Source organism: Homo sapiens, chromosome 19, assembly GCF_000001405.40.
Source record: "Homo sapiens chromosome 19, GRCh38.p14 Primary Assembly".
Classification (NCBI taxonomy): Eukaryota; Metazoa; Chordata; class Mammalia; order Primates; family Hominidae; genus Homo; species Homo sapiens.
Genome location: NC_000019.10, coordinates 17,632,364 through 17,655,020, shown reverse-complemented (window position 1 = coordinate 17,655,020; position 22,657 = coordinate 17,632,364). Strand labels below are relative to the sequence as shown.

At 50.6% G+C, this 22,657-nt stretch overlaps 1 protein-coding gene across 7 annotated transcripts in view; it reads left to right on the top strand.

Annotated features, from left to right (window-relative positions):
• The window catches only part of UNC13A (unc-13 homolog A), an 87,019-nt gene that overhangs the window by 33,334 nt on the left and 31,028 nt on the right, over positions 1 to 22,657 (top strand). For 4 of the 7 annotated variants that reach the window (XM_011527810.3, XM_017026502.2, XM_011527811.3 and 1 more), the window contains 17 exons: positions 2,344 to 2,390; positions 5,434 to 5,512; positions 5,677 to 5,682; positions 6,038 to 6,109; positions 6,371 to 6,590; positions 7,529 to 7,756; positions 8,910 to 9,051; positions 9,178 to 9,347; positions 12,061 to 12,176; positions 13,465 to 13,628; positions 14,360 to 14,510; positions 15,113 to 15,181; positions 15,496 to 15,585; positions 15,804 to 15,938; positions 18,864 to 18,997; positions 21,828 to 21,913; positions 22,113 to 22,239. In XM_011527810.3, the coding sequence (XP_011526112.1) occupies positions 2,344 to 2,390; positions 5,434 to 5,512; positions 5,677 to 5,682; positions 6,038 to 6,109; positions 6,371 to 6,590; positions 7,529 to 7,756; positions 8,910 to 9,051; positions 9,178 to 9,347; positions 12,061 to 12,176; positions 13,465 to 13,628; positions 14,360 to 14,510; positions 15,113 to 15,181; positions 15,496 to 15,585; positions 15,804 to 15,938; positions 18,864 to 18,997; positions 21,828 to 21,913; positions 22,113 to 22,239 (2,036 nt within the window). The remainder of the gene's footprint in view (positions 1 to 2,343; positions 2,391 to 5,433; positions 5,513 to 5,676; positions 5,683 to 6,037; positions 6,110 to 6,370; positions 6,591 to 7,528; positions 7,757 to 8,909; positions 9,052 to 9,177; positions 9,348 to 12,060; positions 12,177 to 13,464; positions 13,629 to 14,359; positions 14,511 to 15,112; positions 15,182 to 15,495; positions 15,586 to 15,803; positions 15,939 to 18,863; positions 18,998 to 21,827; positions 21,914 to 22,112; positions 22,240 to 22,657) is intronic. The other 3 variants (NM_001387022.1, NM_001387023.1, NM_001387021.1) reach the window with 1 other exon arrangement.

Genomic DNA, 22,657 nt, shown 5'->3' with positions numbered 1-22,657 from the left:
CCCTTCCTTAGCCACATACACACACAGCCCAGGGTATCCCCATGGCCCGTCCACACCAGCCTGGCTATGCTAACTCCCAAACCATGCACCAAGTCTGGCCCCACACATCCCCAGCCCAGCCTCCTTCCCAATGTCAGCCTGGGGTTTCTAGATCTAGAGGGAGGAGAGAAAACTAGGGCTGAAACTGGGCTGAAGTCATGGTTAGGGATCAAGGTCAGGGTTAGTTCAGCCATCAAAGATCAGAGGTCAGGGTTAGAATTGGTGTTAGGCAAAGGGGTCAGTGCTTAGGGCCAAATTGGAGGTCATTGTCAGGGTTAGGGAAAGGTCTGGGGCCGGCTCAGTAGGGGAGTAGGAATCAAGGGAAGCAATCAGCATCAGGGGCAAGCTGACTGTTTAGATGGGCAGCAGGGTTGAGGCCATTCGTTTATTCCTTCATTCAGCTCACCCTGGGCTGGGGACAGCTGTGTTGCTCTTCAGAGTTACCCTCCAAACTGCAGTGGGATTGGCAGGAGGAGATTCTAAACAGACTCCCAAAGGTTTAGACCATCAAATATCAGAGCCACAAAATTACCAAACGAAATTTCTTAACAGTTTTAAAATAGAAATCTATTTTTTGACTCAGCAGTACATACATATGGTTCTAAATGAGACAGGTGGAAGAGGACACAGTGAAAAGGCTGTTGGATAACTTCCACTAGGTCAAGAAATTAAATTGAAAAAATAGCAGCTACTATTGGAACTATGTGATATACAAGAAAAACAAACTATGGAACTAGTAATATGACAAGAAAAAGACACATGGAAGGCTCTCTGGGTTTCATAGGAAAAGCATAAAACTAATCCAAGGCAATCAGGAAAACTCCCTGGAGGAGATGACACTTAAGGAGAAGTGATGGCCGGGCGTGGTTGCTCAAGCCTGTAATCCCAGCACTTTGGGAGGCCGAGGTGGGTGGATCACGAGGTCAGGAGATCGAGACCATCCTGGCTAACATGGTGAAACCCCGTCTCTAGTGAAAGTACAAAAAAATTAGCCGGCTGTGGTTGCAGGCGCCTGTAGTCCCAGCTACTCGGGAGGCTGAGGCAGGAGAATGGCGTGAACCCGGGAAGCGGAGCTGGCAGTGAGCCGAGATCGCGCCACTGCACACCAGCCTGGGTGACAGAGCGAGACTCCATTTCAAAAAAAAAAAAAAAAAAAAAAAGAGAAGTGATATCCAAAATATTTATTTCAACAATATTTCAGGAGCTCATGCCTGTAATCCCAGCAATTTGGGAGGTCGAGGCGGGAGGCTCACTTGCACTCAGGAGTTTGAGACCAGCCTGGGCAACGTAGTGAGACCTCATCTCTAAAAGAAAAAAATAAAAAATATTTCAGAGCCGGATGCAGTGGCTCACGCCTGTAATCCCAGCACTTTGGGAGGCAGAGGTGGGTGGATCACCTGAGGTCAGGAGTTCGAGACCAGCCTGGCCAACATAGTGAAACCCCACCTCTACTAAAAATACAAAAAATTAATTGGGTGTGGTGGTGGGCACCTGTAATCCCAGCTACTAGGAAGGCTGAGGCAGGAGAATCGCTTGAACCCAGGAGGTGGAGGTTGCAGTGAGCTGAGATTGCGCCACTGCACTCCAGCCTGGGCAACAAAAGGGAAACTCCGTCTCAAACAAACAAACAAACAAAATATATATATATATATTTATTTCAGGAGCTGAGTGTGGTGGCTTGTGTGTGTGGTCCCAGCTACTCAGGAGGCTGAAGCAGGAAGATCACATGAGGCCAGGAGTTCAAGACCAGTCTGGGCAATATAGCAAGACCCTGTCTTTAAAAAAAAACCAAACACCCCCTCAATATTTCAGAACAGAAGAGTGCTGCCTGTGTTCCTCATAGGGCCACCCCTCCCCCCATGTTAACCCTTTAGTTACAAGATGGAGGGAAGGTAGGGGCTGTGGACCCCACGTCTATGCTGAGACCCGAATGATAAATAGAGGCTGGTTGGCTGCAGAAGGTGGGAAGAGGTACAAGCTGAAGTCACAACTCCTGGAAAGAGCCCGAGGCAAGAGAGCAGATGAACAAGTGAGACTATAGGGGGTTTAGGGAATAATCAATGAAGAGACTGAGGTCCATTGAGGTGGTTGAAAGAGAAGAGCTTCTTTCTCCCCCAGCCCATCTTACAGATGGACAAACTAAGGCCCAGAGATAGCCACGGAGCTTCCTAAAATCACTCAGCCAGGACTAGGACCCAGGCCATCTGACTCCCAGCCCAGAGGGGAGTCAGAAGTGGGTGTGGAGCCTGCTCTGGGGAGGGGAGGGACAGCCACACTGACCATATCTGTCTGTCTGTCCTGCAGGCCCGGGGAGAAGGAGAGATGTCTAAATCCCTATGGTTCAAAGGCGGGTAAGTAATGAAACTGTGAGCGGTGGGAGGAAGATTTGAACCCCAAGTCCAAGGCTGGTTTGCGCCTGAGCCTCAGCCCAGAGAGGAGGAGGAGGGGTTCCATTTAGACAGGGGACAGATTGAGCTTGGGCAAAATACGTCACTTTCATAAGGCACACAGCCATACGCAGACACAAAAGACAGTAATCTTTGAAGACAGGGCGGGGTGCGGTGGCTCATGCCTGTAATCCTAGCACTTTGGGAGGCCGAGGCGGGAGGATCATTTGAGGTCAGGAGTTCGAAACCAGCCTGGCCAACATGGTGAAACCCTGTCTCTACTAAAAACACAAAAATTAGCTGGGCATGCTGGCAGGCGCCTGTAATCCCAGCTACTTGGGATGCTGAGGCAAGATAATTACTTGAACCCGAGAGGCAGAGGTTGTAGTGAGCTGAGATTGCACCACTGCACTCCAGCCTGGGAGACAGAGCGGGACACTGTCTCAAAAATAAACAAACAAATAAATAAATAAATAAATGTAAGATAAAGCAGACACTATGAGGAACTAGACACTATTGGGAAATGTACACTATATATTTGTAATCCTGGAGCAAAATTTTTGCGTTGATTCTATTTTTAAATCTCTTTGATTATTGCTACAGTTGTGGGCTCTTTAATTAAAGATAGTTGTTTAGTCTTCAGTGGAGAATGTGGTCATGTCTAACCTCTTATGTTATGGATTTTCAGGTTAGAGGATGCACAAGATATTTTAAAAATATGCTCAGGTTTTAAAATAGCAGCACGATAGTGACCTTCCTTGTACGTCCTTGGCAAACAGGCAGGGAGACAGCAGCTGGGACTCCTAAATAAATGAGCAGGTACCCTAGCTAGAGAGCCTTGGATGCGGGTCCTGAAATGCGGATTCCTGTGCACGTGATTTATGAAGGATGTGCTCTCGGGAGAAACCTGTCAGACAAGGGGAGGCTGCCGAGAAAAGATGTGGTTTAGGAGTCTCTAAGCCTCAGTTGGCTCCTGCAGAAAGCTTTGTAGGTTGAATAGCCCTGCAGGGCTTGTCTGGAGTCATTGGCTGCAGGCACCTATCTCACTGGCCAGTGAAAACCTTTTCGGGGCCAGGCTTGGTGGCTCACGCCTGTAATCCCAACACTTTGGGAGGCTGAAGCAGGTGGATCGCCTGACGTCAGGAGTTCAAGACCAGCCTGGCCAACATGGCAAAATCCCGTCTCTACTAAAATATACAAAAAATTAGCCAGGTGTGGTGGTGCATGCTTGTAATCCCAGCTATTTGGGAGGCTGAGGCAGGAGAATCACTTGAGGCTAGGAGTTCAAGACCAGCCTGGGCAACATAGCGAGACCCCCATCTCTACAAAAGAATTTTTTTTTAATTAGCTATGTGTGGGCCGGGTGCAGTGGCTCATGCCTGTAATCCCAGCACTTTGGGAGGCCTAGGCGGTTGATCACCTGAGGTCAGGAGTCTGAGACCAGCCTGGTCAACATGGTGAAACCCCATATCTACGAAAAATACAGAAAATTAGCCAGGTGTCGTGGTGCGCACCTGTAATCCCAGCTACTTGGGAGGCTGAGATAGGAGAATTGCTTGAACCCAGGAGGCAGAGGTTGCAGTGAGCCAAGATCATACCATTGCATTCCAGCCTGGGCGACAGAGCGAGACTCCATCTCAAAAAAAAAAAAAAAAAAAAAATTTGCTGGGTGTGGCGGTGTACACCTATGGTCCCAGCTACTCAGGAGGCTAAGGTGGGAGGATTGCTGTAGCCCAGGAGGTGGAGGCTACAGTGAGCCGTGATTGTGCCACTGCACTCCAGCCTGGGTGACAGAGTGAGATCTTGTTTCGAAAGATGGCTGGGCATGGTGGCTCACGCCTGTAATCTCAGCACTTTGGGAGGCCAAGGTGGGCGGATCGCCTGAGGTCAGGAGTTCGAGACCAGCCTGGCCAACATGGTGAAAGCTTGTTTCTACTAAAAATACAAAAATTAGCCAGGCGTTGTGGTGGGCACCTGTAATCCCAGCTACTTGGGGAGCTGAGGCAGGAGAATTGCTTAAACCTGGGAGGCAGAGGTTGCAATGAGCCAAGAAAGGTTTCATCTATATTTTATTTTATTTTTGATACAGAGTCTCGCTCTGTCACCCAGGCTGGATTGCAGTGGCGTGATCTCGACTCACTGCAACCTCTGCCTCCTGGTTCAAGCAATTATCCTGCTTCAACCTCCTGAGTAGCTGGGACTACAGGCATGCACTACCATGCCTGGCTAATTTTTGTATTTTTAGTAGAGACGGGGTTTCACCATGTTGGTCAGGCTGGTCTCGAACTCCTAACCTCAGGTGATCCGCCCGCCTCGGCCTCCCAAAGTGTTGGGATTATTACAGGCGTAAGCCACCACTCCTGGCCTCATTTATATTTTAGTATATTATTTAGATTTGCCTTAATTCACGTTTTCATTCAAGGTGGGCAATTACATCATCTCCCCATTTTTCAGATGAGGAGGGTGAGGCCGGGTGTCTCCATTTCTTAGGACTGCTGTCACAAAGTACCACAGACGGGTAGCTTAAAACCACAGCAATGTATTCTCTCACAGTTCTGGAGGCCAGAAGTCTGAAATCAAGGCATTGGTAGAGCCATGCTCCCTCTGAAATCTGTAGAAGAGAATTCCTCCCCTGCCTCTTCTAGCTTCTAGTTTGCTTGAATTCCTTGGCCCCCGAGTATTGGTTTGTAGATACGTCGCTTTCTGCCTCTGCTGTCACAGAGCCACCTTCTCCCCATGTATCTCTTCTTCTAAGGACACCAGTCATATTAGATTAAGTGTCTACCCTACTCCAGTATGACCTTATCTTAACTAATTACATCTGTGACAACCCCGTTTCCAAGTAAGGTCACCTTCTGAGGTAGTGGGGGTTAGGGCATCAGCGTATCTTTTTTTTGAGGGACCCAATTCAACCCCTTAACACCTGGGGGAGGTTGAATGTTCTCCCCAGGGCTCTATGTGAGGAATAGGGACATCTGGGCCCTCAGTGTCCCTCTGTGTCTTTCAGCCCAGGGGGCGGTCTCATCATCATCGACAGCATGCCAGACATCCGCAAGAGGAAACCTATCCCACTCGTGAGCGACTTGGTAAGCACCCTCGCCCTTTACTCCCTGAGCAGAGCAGGCCTGCTATAAGCAGTGCACAACCTGTGGAACTGCCCATGGTCAACCTGGGGTTGGGGGCCAGCTAGGCATTCTCTGAGACTAATGTAGTCTGATTTCTACCCCCATGTGCTGCGTGGACACTTCAGGCCATGGTGAGTGATGGCGACATGGGCCTCTTGGGATCTTCTCCCCAAACTCCCCCACTGGGATCTTCTAACAGGCCCCCAATTCATGGATTATGGGGGAACCTTGCCATGTCCCACTGTGTTGGATGCTGTGAGTCAGGGGTGCGGGGCTGCTCACTTTCCAGGGTCCCTTCTAACTCAAAGCCTCTGTCACCTCCTAATTCTTTGTTGGGTCTGGCCCGGATGCTGTCGGTGACCTGTTTCCAACTTGCGGTTGTGGCTCCAAAATGTGGCTGCTGGCCCCATCCGTGGCTGTGAACTCTCCTGGTGGTGATCTCATGGATGTCAACCCCCCCGACTCCCTCTTCTGTGACCTCCCCAGTCCCTGGTCCAGTCCAGGAAAGCGGGCATCACCTCGGCCTTGGCCTCCAGCACGTTGAACAACGAGGAGCTGGTGCGTGGGGCACCTCTTTTTCCCCGGGTCAGGGATGGACTGGGCTAGGAGCTTCTGGAATTGTCCAAGCCTCTGTGGGTCCCCGGGAAGAGGAAGGGTGTGTGTGTGACACAGACTGGCAGAAGGCAGCGTGGATTCCGACAGCGTGGAGGCAGGGGAGGGCCTGGGACTTTACCGCGCTCAGTGATGGGGCGGAATGGGGCAGGACAGGGACAGCGCCAGGTTAGGCGCCCCCAAACCGCACCCCATCCCTCCCTGCAGAAAAACCACGTTTACAAGAAGACCCTGCAAGCCTTAATCTACCCCATCTCGTGCACGACGCCACACAACTTCGAAGTGTGGACGGCCACCACGCCCACCTACTGCTACGAGTGCGAGGGGCTGCTGTGGGGCATCGCGAGGCAGGGCATGCGCTGCACCGAGTGCGGTGTCAAGTGCCACGAGAAGTGCCAGGACCTGCTCAACGCCGACTGCCTGCAGCGTGAGCGCAGGGCCTGAGCGCAGGGCCACGGGTTGGCGTGGGGAGCCCCGGGGCTTGCATGGCGGGGAAAGGCTGAAGGGCAAGGCGATGGGTGGGGCACCATGGGGCGGGGCAAGGGGCGGGGCGTCGTGAGGCAGGGGAGGGACTCGCTGAAAGGGAGGGGTGGGGTTAAAGGCGCAGGACTCCCTGGTGGAAGGGCTAGGGGGTCGAGGGGTGGGGAAAGAAGCTGTGAGGGTGTCAGAGAGGGGTGGGGCAGGGCTCAGGGACTAGCTAGGTTGTGCAAAGGACAGGCTTAGTGAGAAGAGGCAGCTCCCCTGGATAAAATGGGTTAGCTAGGGGTAGCTCTGAGAGGAAGAGGGGCTCAGAGAGGGAAGGGGTTCAGACTGCGAGAGGACTGTGGAGGGGGGGATTGGAAGGGGGAGGGGACTCAGAGGAGGTGGGACCAAGAGAAAGGGAGGGGTCTGAGAGATGGAAGGGGCTCAGGAATGTGGAGGGGACTCGCAGGGGTGGAGATCAGAGACGAGGAGGGGATTCAGAGGAGTGGGGCTCAGAGAGGCAGCGGGACTCAGAGGGGTGGGACTCAGAGAGGGGGCGGAGATTCAGAGGGGTGGGACGCAGAGGGGGCGGGGACTCAGAGGGGTGGGGCTTAGGGAAGAGGCCTTAGAGGGGTGGGGCTCCAAAAACCAGTGGGGACTCCAAGGGGTGCGGGGCAGAGAAGGGCAGGACGCAGGGACATGGCGACTCAGAGGAGCATGGCTCCGAGAGGAGGTGGAAGGGTGAAGGGTCTGGGTGGGGGGTACAGAAAGCAGGTAGGAAACCGGCTTCAGGGGGTGACACCTGAGTCCCCCCGGTTGATGAGTAGGGGCGGGGCTCTCGCCTTGGTGAGGGGCCACTATGCAGGGCGCGCTGGGGTCAGCGCCGGCCTCGGGCGTCCTCAGGGGCTGCGGAGAAGAGCTCCAAGCACGGGGCGGAGGACCGGACACAGAACATCATCATGGTGCTCAAGGACCGCATGAAGATCCGGGAGCGCAACAAGCCCGAGATCTTCGAGCTCATCCAGGAGATCTTCGCGGTGACCAAGACGGCGCACACGCAGCAGATGAAGGCGGTCAAGCAGAGCGTGCTGGACGGCACGTCCAAGTGGTCCGCCAAGATCAGCATCACCGGTGAGGGGGCGTGGGCCGCCATAGGGCCCCTCCTTCTCCACCCTCTGAGACCTGTCTCATGCCCTGTCCCATGGCCTGGTCCCTCTCCTTTGCAGCGCGCACTCACTCGGTCGGGTGCATTCCATCTCATCTCCGTGTGTGCACGCATATGGGGGGACATGCGTGCCTCCAAACGCCTGTTCATGGCACTGTATCTGGGTGCGTCTTGGATGGTGCCCTCCAGAATGAGACTCCAAGAAGAGGAATTGAGGGTGCATGGTTTATCTGGAAAGTGACCCCAGAAAGTCCTGGTGAGGGGCAAGGACTTGAGACAGGGATGGAAGGAGTCCTGAAGGAGATGCCGTTGAGCAGACAATGCTGTGGGCAAGGGGGTCAGCCCATCCTGGGGCCACTGGGGACAATGTCGAGCATGCAGCTCAGTGTGGCCCCACTTAGGGGCGAGGATACTGGCTTTTCTCCACACCCAGCCTCATGTGGGTTTCCCCATAAACAGACCTGAGGATGAGGATTTCAGGTTATGTGGGTTATCCAGGAAGTGACCCCAGGACGGAGCTGGGGTGGTAAGTCAGGGAGGGAAGGAACCCTGCAGGGGGCACCAACGAGCAGGAGATCTCGGGGGGCAATGGGTTCTTGTAAGTGTCTGACCTCAGGGAGTTCACACCTGAGAGAGGTCCTACCCATGCGCAAGGCAGCTGGGGCACCTTCCCATCCTTCATGGTTTGGGGACTCCTTCCCAGCACTTTGGGAGGCTGAGGCTGAGGCAGGCGGATCACCTGAGGTCAGGAATTCGAGACCGACCTGGCCAACATGGTGAAACCCCATCTCTACTAAAAATGCAAAACGATTGGCCGGATGGGGTGGCACGTGCGGGTAATCCCAGCTACTTGGGAGGCTGAGGCAGGAGAATTGCTTGAACCCGGGAGGCGGAGGTTGCACTCCAGCCTGGGTGACGAGCAAAACTCTGTCTCAAAAACAAACAAACAAACAAACAAACACACAAAAAACCTCTCTGGCAAGCCCAGCGTGCCCTGCCATTGCTCTCCAGCCATGCTGCAGGTGTCCCAATTATCAGCCTGCAGCGTGTGGCAGTGACTGTCCCCAGCATGCCTCGCTTCTTGAGTGCACACCTGTGTATGCCCTCTGTGTCTTCCAGTGGTCTGCGCCCAGGGCTTGCAGGCAAAGGACAAGACAGGATCCAGTGACCCCTATGTCACCGTCCAGGTCGGGAAGACCAAGAAACGGACAAAAACCATCTATGGGAACCTCAACCCGGTGTGGGAGGAGAATTTCCACTTGTAAGTGCCTGGCTGGGTCCCTGGCCCCATGTGGGGCATCCTGCTGGGGCAGCCAAAAGAGGGCTCCAAGGACAGGACTCACACTGGCTGCCTGACCCCTGCCTCTGCCTCCTCCTCCCGCCACAGTGAATGTCACAATTCCTCCGACCGCATCAAGGTGCGCGTCTGGGACGAGGATGACGACATCAAATCCCGCGTGAAACAGAGGTTCAAGAGGGAATCTGACGATTTCCTGGGGCAGACGATCATTGAGGTGCGGACGCTCAGCGGCGAGATGGACGTGTGGTACAACCTGGGTGAGAGAAGCTGGGTTCTGAAGCGGGTGGGGACGGGTCCCAGGGATCCAGCCAGAGCATGGAGCCCACGAAGAGCAGAGAGATGTGTTCTCAGGAGGAGTTTGGTCGAGGAGCATAATCTGATGGGGGAGGCAGGGTCTAGGAGCCCAGTTTGATGGGAGCAGGAAGCACCCAGGCCAGGAGGGTGAGCAGAGCCCAGGAACCTCTTAGTTCAGCTTAGGAGGGAGGGTGGGGACAGAATCTCCATGTTCTAGTCTAATGGGGGAGGCAAGAAGCAAGAACTGGGAATCCTAGTCTGAGGGGAGAGACAGAGACCTAGGAACTAAATCTAAGAAAGAAGATTGAGCTTTAAGAATCCAGGCTGGGGCCAGGTATGGTGGCTCACGCCTGTAATCCCAGCACTTTGGGAAGCTGAGGCAGGCAGATCACATGAGGTCAGGAGTTCGAGACCAGCCTGGCTAACATGGTGAAACCCCGTCTCCACTAAAAATACAAAAATTAGCCAGGCGTGGTGGTGGGTGCCTGTAGTCCCAGCTACTTGGGAGGCTGAGGCAGGAGAATCGCTTGAACCCAGGAAGCGGAGGTTGCAGTGAGCTGAGACTGCGCCACTGCACTCCAGCCTAGGCAACGAGAGCAAAACTCCCACTCAAAAAAAAAAAAAAAAGAATCCAGGCTGGGGGCGCCGGGCAGTGGCTCACATCTGTAATTAATCCTATCACTATGGGAGGCTGAGGCAGGCCAATCACTTGAGTCCAGGAGTTCAAGACCAGCCTGGGCAACATAGTGAAACCCCATCTCTATAAAAGATACAAAAATTAGCTAGGCAGGGTGACACTCACCTGTGGTCCCACCTACTCTGGAGGCTAAGGTGGGAGGATCCCCTGAGCCTGAGAGGTAAAGGCTGCAGTGAGCTGTGATCACACTGCTGCACTCCAGCCCAGGGAACAGAGTGAGACCCTTTCTCAAAAAACAAATATGGCCGGGTGCAGTGTCTCACGCCTATAATCCCAACAGTTTGGGACGGCTGAGGCAGGCAGATCACTTGAGGTCAGGAGTTTGAGACCAGATTGTCCAACATGGCGAGATCAAGCCCCTGCACTCCAGCCTGGGCAACAAAGGAAGACTCCGTCTCAAAAAAAAAAAAAAAAAACAAAAGAAAAAGAAAAAAAAAATGGAATCCAGGCTGGGCATGGTGGCTCCCACCTGTTATCCCAACATATTGGTTGGGTGGCTGAGCTGGGAGGGTCACTTGAGCCCAGGAGTTCGAGACCAGCCTGGGCAACATAACAAGGCCTTTGTCTCCATTAAAAAAAAAAAAATAGCTGGGTGTGGTGATGCGTGCCTGTAGTCCCAGCCACTTGGGAGGCTGAGGTGGAAGCATCATTTGTACCTGGGAGGTTGAAGCTGCAGTGAGCTATGATCATGCCACTGCACTCCAGCCTGGGCGATAGAGCAAGACTCTGTGTCCCCCCGACCCCCCACCACAAGAAAAGAATCCAGTCTAAAGAGGGAGGTATTGTTTGGGAATCCTAATCTGAGATGGCTGCTACAGATCAAAGAACCCTGTGTAAGGAAGTTGAGTAGAATCTGGGGAGTCCAATCTAATGGAGGAAGCAGGGTGTATGAGCCTAATCTGAGGGGGTAGAAAGGACCCAGCCTGAGAGAGGTGAGCAGAGCCCGGAAACCTCTTAGATTGGAGGACATCTAGATATCCCATTCTGATGGGGGAGGTGGGAGACAAGACCAGGGGGTCCTAGTCTGAGGAGAGAGGCACAGACCCAGGAACAGTGTCTAAGATGTGTAGTCTCCGGGGAGCATGATCTGATGGGGGAGGCAGGGCCTGGGAGCTCAGACTGGGAAAGAAGTGGGGCCTAGGGCTGCTAGTCTAAGGAGGGAGGCACATAGCCAGGAACTTAATCTGAGTGAAGAAGCAAGGTCTGGGATCCTTGTTTGAAGGAAGAGACAGGGCTTAAGGAATTCTAGCCTAAACAGGGAGACTCAAGCCTAGGGAGCCAATCAGAAGAGAGACACCAAAGCCTTAGTTTCCGGAAGTCTGGGAGGACTACAGAATCGTGTATCTATTAAAAATTGCCTTGGGAGGCCGAGGCGGGCGGATCACCTGAGGTCAGGAGTTCGAGACCAGCCTGGCCAACATGGTGAAACCTCGTCTCTACTAAAAATAAAAAATTAGGTGGGTGTGATGGCACATGCCTGTAATCCCAGCTACTCGGGAGGCTGAGGCAAGACAATTGCTTGAACTCAGGAGGTGGAGATTGCAGTGAGCCAAGATTGCGCCACCGCACTCTAACCTGGACCACAGATCTCAAAAAAAAATAAAATAAAAAAAAATTTGCCCATGGCTGGCCGGGCGCGGTGACTCACGCCTGTAATTCCAGCACTTTGGGAGGCTGAGGTAGGTGGATCACCTGAGGTAAGGAGTTCGAGACCAGCCTGGCCAACATGGTGAAACCCCGTCTCTACTAAAAGTATAAAAATTAGCTGGGCACGGTGGCAGGCACCTGTAATTCCAGCTAGTTGGGAGGCTGAGACAGGAGAATCGCTTGAACCCAGGAGGTGGAGGTTGCAGTGAGCTGAGATCGTGCCACTGCACTCCAGCCTGGGTGACAAGAGCAAGACTCCCTCTTAAAAAAAAAAAAATTGCCCACTGCTATAGTGGGAAGTTCTGACACTGTCTTCTTTTTCTGCCCTGCAGACAAGCGAACTGACAAATCTGCCGTGTCGGGTGCCATCCGGCTCCACATCAGTGTGGAGATCAAAGGCGAGGAGAAGGTGGCCCCGTACCATGTCCAGTACACCTGTCTGCATGAGGTGAGGGTCATTGCTCGGCCCCTCCCATGCCACTTCCACTCACCATTCCTGCCTGCCCAGCTCTTCCTCTTTCTGGCCACACCATCCACACTCTCCTGGCCCTCTGAGACTGCCCGCCATGCCATTCCCTTTACCTGGAAAACTCCTCCCTATCCATCAAAGTCCAGATTCAGGGTCACCTCCTCTGGGAAGCCCACCTTGGCCTCCAGGTTGACTCTCACTACTCATCATCAGGTTCTTCCTTCTATTCCAGCCCTAACCACTCAGGATTGGGCCGTTTGTGTCTGGGTATGTCTCTTCCAGCTGCCTGGGTTTCCTGGAAAGAACTCTTATCCCCAGGAACTAGTTTGTTGAATAAATGCTGGTGAATGAATGAATGATTGAACAGATGAATGAGTGATGAGTAGATAAAAGGATGGATGGAGAGATGGGTGAGTACATGGATGGATAGATGGATGAGTTGGTGGGTAGATTCGTGGCTAGATGGATGATGGATGGATGGACAGATGGATGGATATATGATTGAACTATTGAAAGTATAGATGTATGGATGGGTGAATTTGGGGGTAATTGTTAGATGATGGATGAGTATAGATGAATGATGGATGGATAACTTGATGAGTGGATAGATAGATTGCTGGATAGATGATTGACTGGGTGGATAGATGAAATGTTGGATGAGCAGATTAAGTTGTATTGGATGGGATGGATGGAAGTGTGGTTGAGTTATTAGAAGGAAGATTGAGTAGATAGGTGAATTTGTTGATAGTCAGATGGGTAGATAGGTAGATGGATGGATGGATGGATGGATGTATAGGCAGATGGACAAATGGATGAATGGGTGGGTGGATGAATGGAAGGATGTGTGGTTGAACTATTGCAAGTATTGATAATTGGGTTCATAATTTCTGAATATTTAGATGGATGGTTGTGAGTGGCTGGTGGACAGACGAAAAATGGATGGTTGGATAAATTGATGGGTGGATGGATGGTTGGTTGTATGAAAGAATGAATGATTGGGTAGGTGGATTAAGTTGCGGATCAATGTATGGGATGGATGAATGGATGGATGGATGGATGTGTGGTTGAATTACTGAAAGGTTGGAAGAGTGGATGGGTGAAATTTGGGGTAGTTAGATGGGTGGGTGTGTGGATGGATAAAAGAGTAGATGAATGAATTAATGAATAAACAGGCAGATGGATGATGTAAGCTGCCCCAGACCCTGGGACCTCTGACCCCCGGCGACCCCTTGCACTCTCCATGACACTTTCTCTCCCATGGTGGCAGAACCTGTTCCACTTCGTGACCGACGTGCAGAACAATGGGGTCGTGAAGATCCCAGATGCCAAGGGTGACGATGCCTGGAAGGTTTACTACGATGAGACAGCCCAGGAGATTGTGGACGAGTTTGCCATGCGCTACGGCGTCGAGTCCATCTACCAAGCCATGACGTGAGACTGCAGGCTGGGGTGCAGGAAACAAGAGGGAGGTCACCAAGTGGGCACTGGCAGGTCTGGGGTGGGAGGGATTCTCAGGGGGAAGACCCAGAGAGGAAGTGGGCGTGGTGGTGGTGGGTTCCGTAATTCCCCTGGAGATCAGGAGAGCGCTGTGATTGACACCTGGAGTGACATGGAAGAGAGGGAAGACTTAGAAGCAGAGATAGAGGCTGGGCACAGTGGCTCAAGCCTGTAATCCCAGCATTTTAGGAGGCTGAGGTGGGCGGATCACTCCAGGTCCAGGAGTACAAGACCAGCCTGGCCAACATGGTGAAACCCCATCTCTACTAAAAATACAAAAGTTATCCAGGTGTGGTGGCTTGGGCCTGTAATCCCAGCTACTCGGGAAGTTAGGGTGGGAGAATTGCTTGAACCTGGGGGGCAGGGGTTGCAGTGAGCCGAGATTGCGCCACTAAACTCCAGCCTGGGTGACAGAGTGAGACTCCATCTCAAAAAAAAAAAAAAAAGAAAGAAAGAAAAAAAGAAGCAGAATTAGAGCAACTCAAATGGATATAAAGATGGAGGGGAGAGGAGATGCGGAGACCCAAAGGACAGAATCAGGCAGGGGATGGTTTAGGAGGTGACAGAGACCCACTCACAGATGCTATCTTGGAGGCATTCTAGGGGGGATCTTGGTCCATCCTGGCTGGACCCCTGGCCTAGTGCCTCCTGCTCCCTCTCTCCAGCCACTTTGCCTGCCTCTCCTCCAAGTATATGTGCCCAGGGGTGCCTGCCGTCATGAGCACCCTGCTCGCCAACATCAATGCCTACTACGCACACACCACCGCCTCCACCAACGTGTCTGCCTCCGACCGCTTCGCCGCCTCCAACTTTGGGGTCAGTCCTGGGGACTGGGATTGGAGAATTAGGGAGAGCCCAACTTTATGCCGGTCAGATCTGATGTGACTTCTGGGTCCCCAGTCTAGACCTGATTGCTGTGTGACTTTCCACCAGTCACTTCCCGTCTCTGAGCCTCCATTTATTCCTCTGTAGAATGCTATAGAATGGAGGTCGGGCGCAGTGGCTCATGCCTGTAATCCCAGCACTTTGGGAGGCCGAGGCTGGAGAATCACTTGAGGCCAGGAGTTCGAGACCAGCCTGGCCAACACGGTGAAAACCCGTCTCTTCTAAAAATCCAAAAGAAAATTAGCTGGGTGTGGTGGCCTGTGCCTGTAGTCCCAGCCACTTGGGAGGCTGAGGCAGGAGAATTGCTTGAGCCTAGGAGTCGGAGGTTGCAGTGAGCTGAGACTGCGCCACTACACTCCAGCCTGGGCAACAGAGCAAGACTCTGTCTCAAAACAAAAAAAAAAATGCCATAGAATGGAAATGGACATTATGAGGGTGGTGGATGAGGTATACTTACTGTACAGTAGGCGCTCAGCCACTATGGCGGCCATGTCCTGCCTCCATCCATCCTCCCTCCTCCCCTTCCTCCTCAGAAAGAGCGCTTCGTGAAACTCCTGGACCAGCTGCATAACTCCCTGCGGATTGACCTCTCCATGTACCGGGTAGGAAGTGTGTGCATGAGAATTTGCTCACCCCACGCACATGTGTGTGCCTGGAGGGGAAAGCTACCAGCAGGTGTGTGCATGGGAGGACCCATCTTCGCATGTACGATGTGTTCCTCCAGCATGTGTGCACCTGCATGGGCACTACCTGCCGTAATGTGCTTGGTGCATCCAAGCAGATCCCCAGTTGCTTCGAGGTGCTCTAATCAACCCCCAGCCTGAAACCGGGGAGCCTTTGTATCCCCCTGAAAAGCAGTCTCCCATCCTCCCCACGCCTTCTTCCATAACCCCACATCTCTTCCTGCTCCCAACAGAATAACTTCCCAGCCAGCAGCCCGGAGAGACTCCAGGACCTCAAATCCACTGTGGACCTTCTCACCAGCATCACCTTCTTTCGGATGAAGGTAGGAAAGGATCCAGTTGCCTTTGCTCTCCAAGGAGGGTTCTCTAGGATCCCCAGCTCCCAGGACAAGTGACATTCCTCCTGGAGAGTGGCAGCCTTTCTCAGTAACCTTTTCCTTTCATACCACTTCATTTCCTTAAACCCAAAATGACTCGCAGTCACTTCCTGGGGACCTCCTGTCACAGCTGTGGCCGCCTATGCCTCTCTCCCTCCCTTCAGGTACAAGAACTCCAGAGCCCGCCCCGAGCCAGCCAGGTGGTAAAGGACTGTGTGAAAGCCTGCCTTAATTCTACCTACGAGTACATCTTCAATAACTGCCATGAACTGTACAGCCGGGAGTACCAGACAGACCCGGTGAGACTCCAGATGGGTCAGAAGGGAACAGTGATGCCAACTAGACACAGGCTTCAGTCCCAGCCCTGCCCCTTCCCGAGGGATTTAACTCTTCTGAACCTCAGTATCTTCTTCTATAAAATGGGGTCATTAACCCACATCTCAGGATTAGGGAGAAGAGTTCATGAGCTGTAAGTTTAGATAAAATATAGTCGGCACTCAGTACATTTGGTTGCGTAGTTGAGTTTGGCATAAAAAAAAATTTTTTTTTTTTGAGATAAAGTTTCACTCTTGCTTCCCAGGCTGGAGTGCAGTGGTGTGATCTCAGCTCACTGCAACCTCTGCCTCCCAGGTTTAAATGATTCTCCTGCCTCAGACTCCCGAGTAGCTGGGATTACAGGTGCCCACCACCACACCTAGTTAATTTTTTGTATTTTTAGTAAAAACGGGGTTTCACCATGTTGGCCAGGCTGGTCTCGAACTCCTTGACCTCAGGTGATCCACCTGCCTCGGCCTCCCAAAGTACTGAGATTATAGGCGTGAGCCACCACTCCCAGCCTGGCATAAAAATTTATGTCTGGCATACAGTCACTGTTCAGTAAATGTTGAGTTGAATTGAATTTATTTATTTATTTTGAGATGGGGTCTTGCTCTGTTGCCCAGGCTGGAGTGCAGTGATGCAATCATGGCTCACTGCAGCCTCGACCTCCCAGGCTCAAGTGATCCTCCCACCTCAGCCTCCCAAGTAGCTGGGACTATAGGCACGCACCACCATGACAGGCTAGTTTTTGTATTTTTGTGGAGATGGCATCTCACTATGTTGCCCAGGCTGATCTCCTGGGCTCAAGCGATCCTCCTGCCTCAGCCTCCCAAAGTGCTGGGATTACAGGCATGAGCCACCACCTGTAAGGAGCTTATAGCCTATTATGAGGGAAAGATGTACAAACTGGAAATTTACAAACAGGGATGGTTAGTATTGAGATAGTGGGATCTCAGGAGGCTGTGGGAGCTGGAGGCAGCCCCTACCCAGGTTCTGATAGGATATAACACATAAGCTGTGTTCAGTTCAATTTGATTTCATTCTGTTCCTTTACATTCAGTTGACTAGAGTTGGAATCAGTCTCACTCTCATTTGAATTGAGTTGAGGTGAACTGGATTAAATTAGGCTATAAGGAGCTTATAGCCTATTATGAGGGAAAGATGTACAAACTGGAAATTTACAAACAGGGATGGTTAGTATTGAGATAGTGGGATCTCAGGAGGCTGTGGGAGCTGGAGGCAGCCCCTACCCAGGTTCTGATAGGATATAACACATAAGCTGTGTTCAGTTCAATTTGATTTCATTCTGTTCCTTTACATTCAGTTGACTAGAGTTGGAATCAGTCTCACTCTCATTTGAATTGAGTTGAGGTGAACTGGATTAAATTAGATTGTTTAGTTCAACCATAATCAGTTTAGTTATATTTATTTCTATTTGGTTGACTTAAGTTAAAATTGTTCTTGACGGCCAGGCACAGTGGCTCACGCCTGTAATCCCAGCACTTTGAGAGGCCGAGGTGGGTGGATCATGAGGTCAGGAGATCGAGACCATCCTGGCTAACACAGTGAAACCCCGTCTCTACTAAAAATACAAAAAAATTAGCCGGGCGTGGTGGCGGGCACCTGTAGTCCCAGATACTTGGGAGGCTGAGGCAGGAGAATGGTGTGAACCTGGGAGGCAGAGCTTGCAGTGAGCTGAGATCGCATCACTGCACTCCGGCCTGGGTGACAGAGCGAGACTCCGTCTCAAAAAAAAAAAAAAAATTGTTCTTGACAAATTAGTGAGCCAGGCTGGGCTCAGTGGCTCACACCTGTAATGTCAGCACTTTAGGAGGCTGAGGCAGGAGGATCCCTTGAGGCCAGGAGCTCGAGACCAGTTTGGGCAACATAGCGAGACCCTATCTTTGCAAAATATACAAAAATTAGCCAGGTGTGGTGGCGCACCTGTAGTCCTGGCTACTTTGGAGGCTGAGGTGGAAGGATCACTTGAGCCCAGGAGTTCGAGTCTATGGTGAGCCATGATTGCACCACTGCGCTCCAGCCTGGGTGACAGAATGAGACTCTGTCTCTTGAAAGAAAAAAAAAAAAAATAGAGAGAAGAACAAGTTGGTTGATTGCATTGAGTTTTATTGAGTACAAATTCATTCATTTCCATTTAGTTCATTTACATTCAAGTCAAGTTGTTCTCAACTGGGTTAAATTGTCTTGAGTTAGGATGAACTGGGTTGTTGGATTAGATGCAATTGATTTCAGTTGAATTGGGTTGAATTGGGCTAATTTCAGCTGATTATATTCATTTCCATTGATTAACAAAGGTGGGTTGAATTGCCCTGCGTATGTTCAGTTGGGTTTAGATAGGTAGAATCGGATTGGGTTGACTTGGGTAGAGTTGAGTTCGAGTCGATTTATTTCCATTATTTTGATTTGGGTTGATGTTGATCTTGGACAAGTTGATTAGGTTCAATCCAACGGAATTCATTTGAGTTTAATTCAATCCAGTTAGGTTGAATTGCACTCCATTCAGTGTGATTGGCCCAAGTTCAGTTCCATTGATTTAACTCAGAGGAAGAACTTACTTCCGTTAAGCTAAGTGGGCTTAATTTGCATTCATTTCATTTCCATTTGGTTTAGTGGAGCTGGGTTTGTTCAACTAAATTTGGTTTCATTTATTTCCATTCACTTTTAGAGTGGAGTCTAAAAATCTTAAGCTTTATCAAGCTGCATTGACATGAGCTCTGTTTGGGCCAGTTTATGAGTTCAATTCCTCTCTATATAGATTTCTTACCTGAACCATACACATGATGATGGGATGCATTCCTCTAAAACCTCTTGTTCTTCAGTAATAAACTGACCGAGGCACCAACCTCTGGACCCCCTATAACCGAGGTCTCCACTGTCCATTTCAGGCCAAGAAGGGGGAAGTTCTCCCAGAGGAACAGGGGCCCAGCATCAAGAACCTCGACTTCTGGTCCAAGCTGATTACCCTCATAGTGTCCATCATTGAGGAAGACAAGAATTCCTACACTCCCTGCCTCAACCAGTGAGTTGTGTATCTGTGTAGTTAATTATCTGGGTGTCATCGTGTGTATGTATACAACTTTGTGTCTTGTGTGTCAAGATGATTTTGTCTAATTACACAAATGTGCACCTGGGGGTAATTGTGGGTCTGATTATACCTGTGCAAAATTCAAATATGGGTACAATTTGCAAACATAAACATAAAATTGTGTGTATGTTCACAATCACTGGTATAATCAGACATGTATTTTGTATGTATTCATTTGCATGCATAACTGTGTGTACATATGTGTATAATTTTTTATGTGTATGTAGGTTAATTAATAATAGTGTTGCTCAAGTATTACTATGTGCTACCCTAATACATATCATACATTTAAATTGCATTATATCTTATATGTATGGATGTAAGTAATTTTGTATATTGTTGTGGTCAGTGGGTTTTGGGTTTAATTTGTATATGTGTAAAATCATTGAATGCAATTCAACGTACAATATTGTACAATATACAATATTGTGTATTGTGTATGAATATGGGCACAGTTTTCATTTGTGGATTTATATGTCTGTAGAATTTTCATCTGTGTTAGCTGAATGAGCTACTGTGTTCTATTTCTCTGCCAGATGAGTGCTAGAGAGGACTCTAGCTTTGGGGCGTTAACATATCCTGGTTAGGGAATTAAGATCAGGGATTTGGATGGATTGAAGGGTGGGTGGATGAATGGATGGATTAATAAACAGATGGGGTCAGGCACAGTGGCTCACGCCTGTAATCCCAGCACTTTGGGAGGCCAAGGTGGGTGGATCATTTGAGGTCAGGAGTTTGAGACCAGCCTGGCCAACATGGTGAAACCCTATCTTTACTAAAAATACAAAAATTGGCCACGCGCGGTGGCTCACCCCTGTAATCCCAGCACTTTGGGAGGCCGAGGCAGGCGGATCATGAGGTCAGATGGAGACCATCCTGGCTAACATGGTGAAACCTTGTCTCTACTAAAAATACAAAAATTAGCCGGGAGTGGTGGTGGGCGCCTGTAGTCCCAGCTACTCGGGAGGCTGAGGCAGGAGAATGGCGTGAACCCAGGAGGTGGAGCTTGCAGTGAGCCGAGATTGGCCACTGCACTCCAGCCTGGGCAACAGAGTGAGACTCCGTCTCAAAAAAAACAGAAAAAACAAAACAAAAATTAACCGGGCGTGGTGGTACACGTCTGTAATCCCAGCTAGTGGGAGACTGAGGCAGGAAAATTGCTTGAACCCAGGAGGCAGAGGTTGCAGTGAGTCGAGATTGCGCCACTGCACTCCAGCCTGGGGTGACAGAGCGAGACTCCGTCTCTAAATAAATAAGTAAATAACAGATGGACAGATAGATTGGTAGAAGGATGACTGTGTGGATAAAGGAACGGATGGGCCAGGTGTGGCAGCTCACGCTTGTAATCCCAGCACTTTGGGAGGCCGAGGCGGGAGGATCACCTGAGGTCAGGAGTTTGAGACCAGCCTGGCCAACATGGCAAAACCCCATCTCTACTAAAAATATAAAAAATTAGCCGGGCATAGTGGCTCGCGCCTGTAATCCCAGCTACTTGGGAGGCTGAGGCACGAGAATCATTTGAGCCCGGGTGGTGGAGGTTGCAGTGAGCTGAAATCGCACCACTGCACTCCAGCCTGGGTGACAGAGTGAGACTCCGTCTCTAAATAAAAAAAAAGGAATGGATGGATGGGTGGACAGATGGATGGGTAAATGGATGGGTGGATAGCTGCATAAGTGAGTAAATAAATGGATAGAGGGATGGATGGATAGGTGGATGGATGAATAGATAGATGGGTCATTTAATGGGTGGGTGGATAGTTGTATGAGTGGGCGAATGAATGGATGGAAGGACAGATAAATAGGTGGATGATGGAAGGATGGACGGATGGATGGATGAACAGATAGACGGGTAGGTGGCTGGATGGACAGTTGGATGAATGGGTGGAGGGATAGATGGATGAACAGGTAGATGAGTGGTTGAGTGGATGGATGAATAGTTGGATGAATGAGCAAATGAATGGATGGAGGGATGGATGGATAGATGAATAGATAGATGGATAGGTGAACGGATGGGTGGATAGTTGCATAATTAGGTGAATGAATGGAAAGAGGGATGGATGGATGGATGGGTGGATAGATGAATAGATAGATGGGTAGGTGGATGGATGGATAGTTGGATGAATGGGTAGAGGGATAGATGGATGAACAGATAGATGGGTGGTTGAGTGGATGGATGAATAGTTGGATGAATGAGTGAATGAGTGGATGGAGGGATGGATGGATAAATAGATAGATGGATAGGTGAATGAATGGGTGGATAGTTGCATAAGTAGGTGAATGAATGGATAGAGGGATGGATGGATGGGTGGATGGATGAATAGATAGATGGGTAGGTGGAGGGATAGATAGTTGCATGAGTGGGTGAATGAATTGATGAAGGGATGGTTGGATGGGTGGATAATGGGTGGATGGATGAATAGATAGATGGGTACATGGATGGGTGGACAGTTGCATGAGTGGGTGAATGAATGGATGGAAGGATGGATGAATGGATGGAGGAATAGATAAATGAGTTGTTGAATGTATGGGTGGATAGTTGCATGAGTGGATGAATGAATGAATGGAGGGACAAATGGATGAGTGGGTGGAGGCTCAAAGGGAAACAAAGCCTTAGTGCAGAGTCAGTCAGCAGTGGCTATGAGGGAACCTGAACCCAAATCCCTCTACCCTACCCTACACTCCTCTGTGGGGCAGGGAAGGACAAAGCAGCCCATCCCATCTGCCTTCTGCCTGCCAAAGTTTTATACTTCCATGACTTTGCCAGGTTTCCCCAGGAGCTGAATGTGGGTAAAATCAGCGCTGAAGTGATGTGGAATCTGTTTGCCCAAGACATGAAGTACGCCATGGAGGGTGAGTTTCCCACCCCAGTGTTCCCCAGCCTGGCCACACCAGGTGGCTGTACCTCTGTGTCCCCTCCAAGGCTGTGAGCACCCTATAATACCCTCATGCCTGAGTTGGAAATCAGTGATGGCCAGAGTAGGCAGCCTCTCTGCCGAGACAGAGGGTGGCAGACCCTTCCAGCTGTGCCATCCTCTTTGTCCCTGGCCAGAGCACGACAAGCATCGTCTATGCAAGAGTGCCGACTACATGAACCTCCACTTCAAGGTGAAATGGCTCTACAATGAGTATGTGACGGAACTTCCCGCCTTCAAGGACCGCGTGCCTGAGTACCCTGCGTAAGTCCCCTGCCCCAGGCCCAACCCAAGCCAGAACTGTAGCACTGACAGCTAGAAGGAAAGCCAGAGAGGAAGACTGACCTACTTAGGGTTACCTGGGCATCAGGGGCATGGGTGGGGCTTGAATCCAGTGTTCTCCACTCTCAGCCATTGAGCAGTTGACTCCTACAGCCCAGAAAATTCAGTCAACAGCAACAGGAACCATGTGACTTTCTCATTTTATCCTTTTGACAATTCTATGAGTTAAGGTGGGATCATTTTAATTCCTATTTTGCGGAGGAGAAATTGGAGAGTTAAAGATGCCAAATGGCCAGGCATGGTGGCACATGCCTGTAGCCCCGGCAATCTGGGAGACTGAGGCAGGACTTGCTTGAGCCCAGGAGTTCGAGACCAGCCTGGAAAAGATAGTCAGATCCCA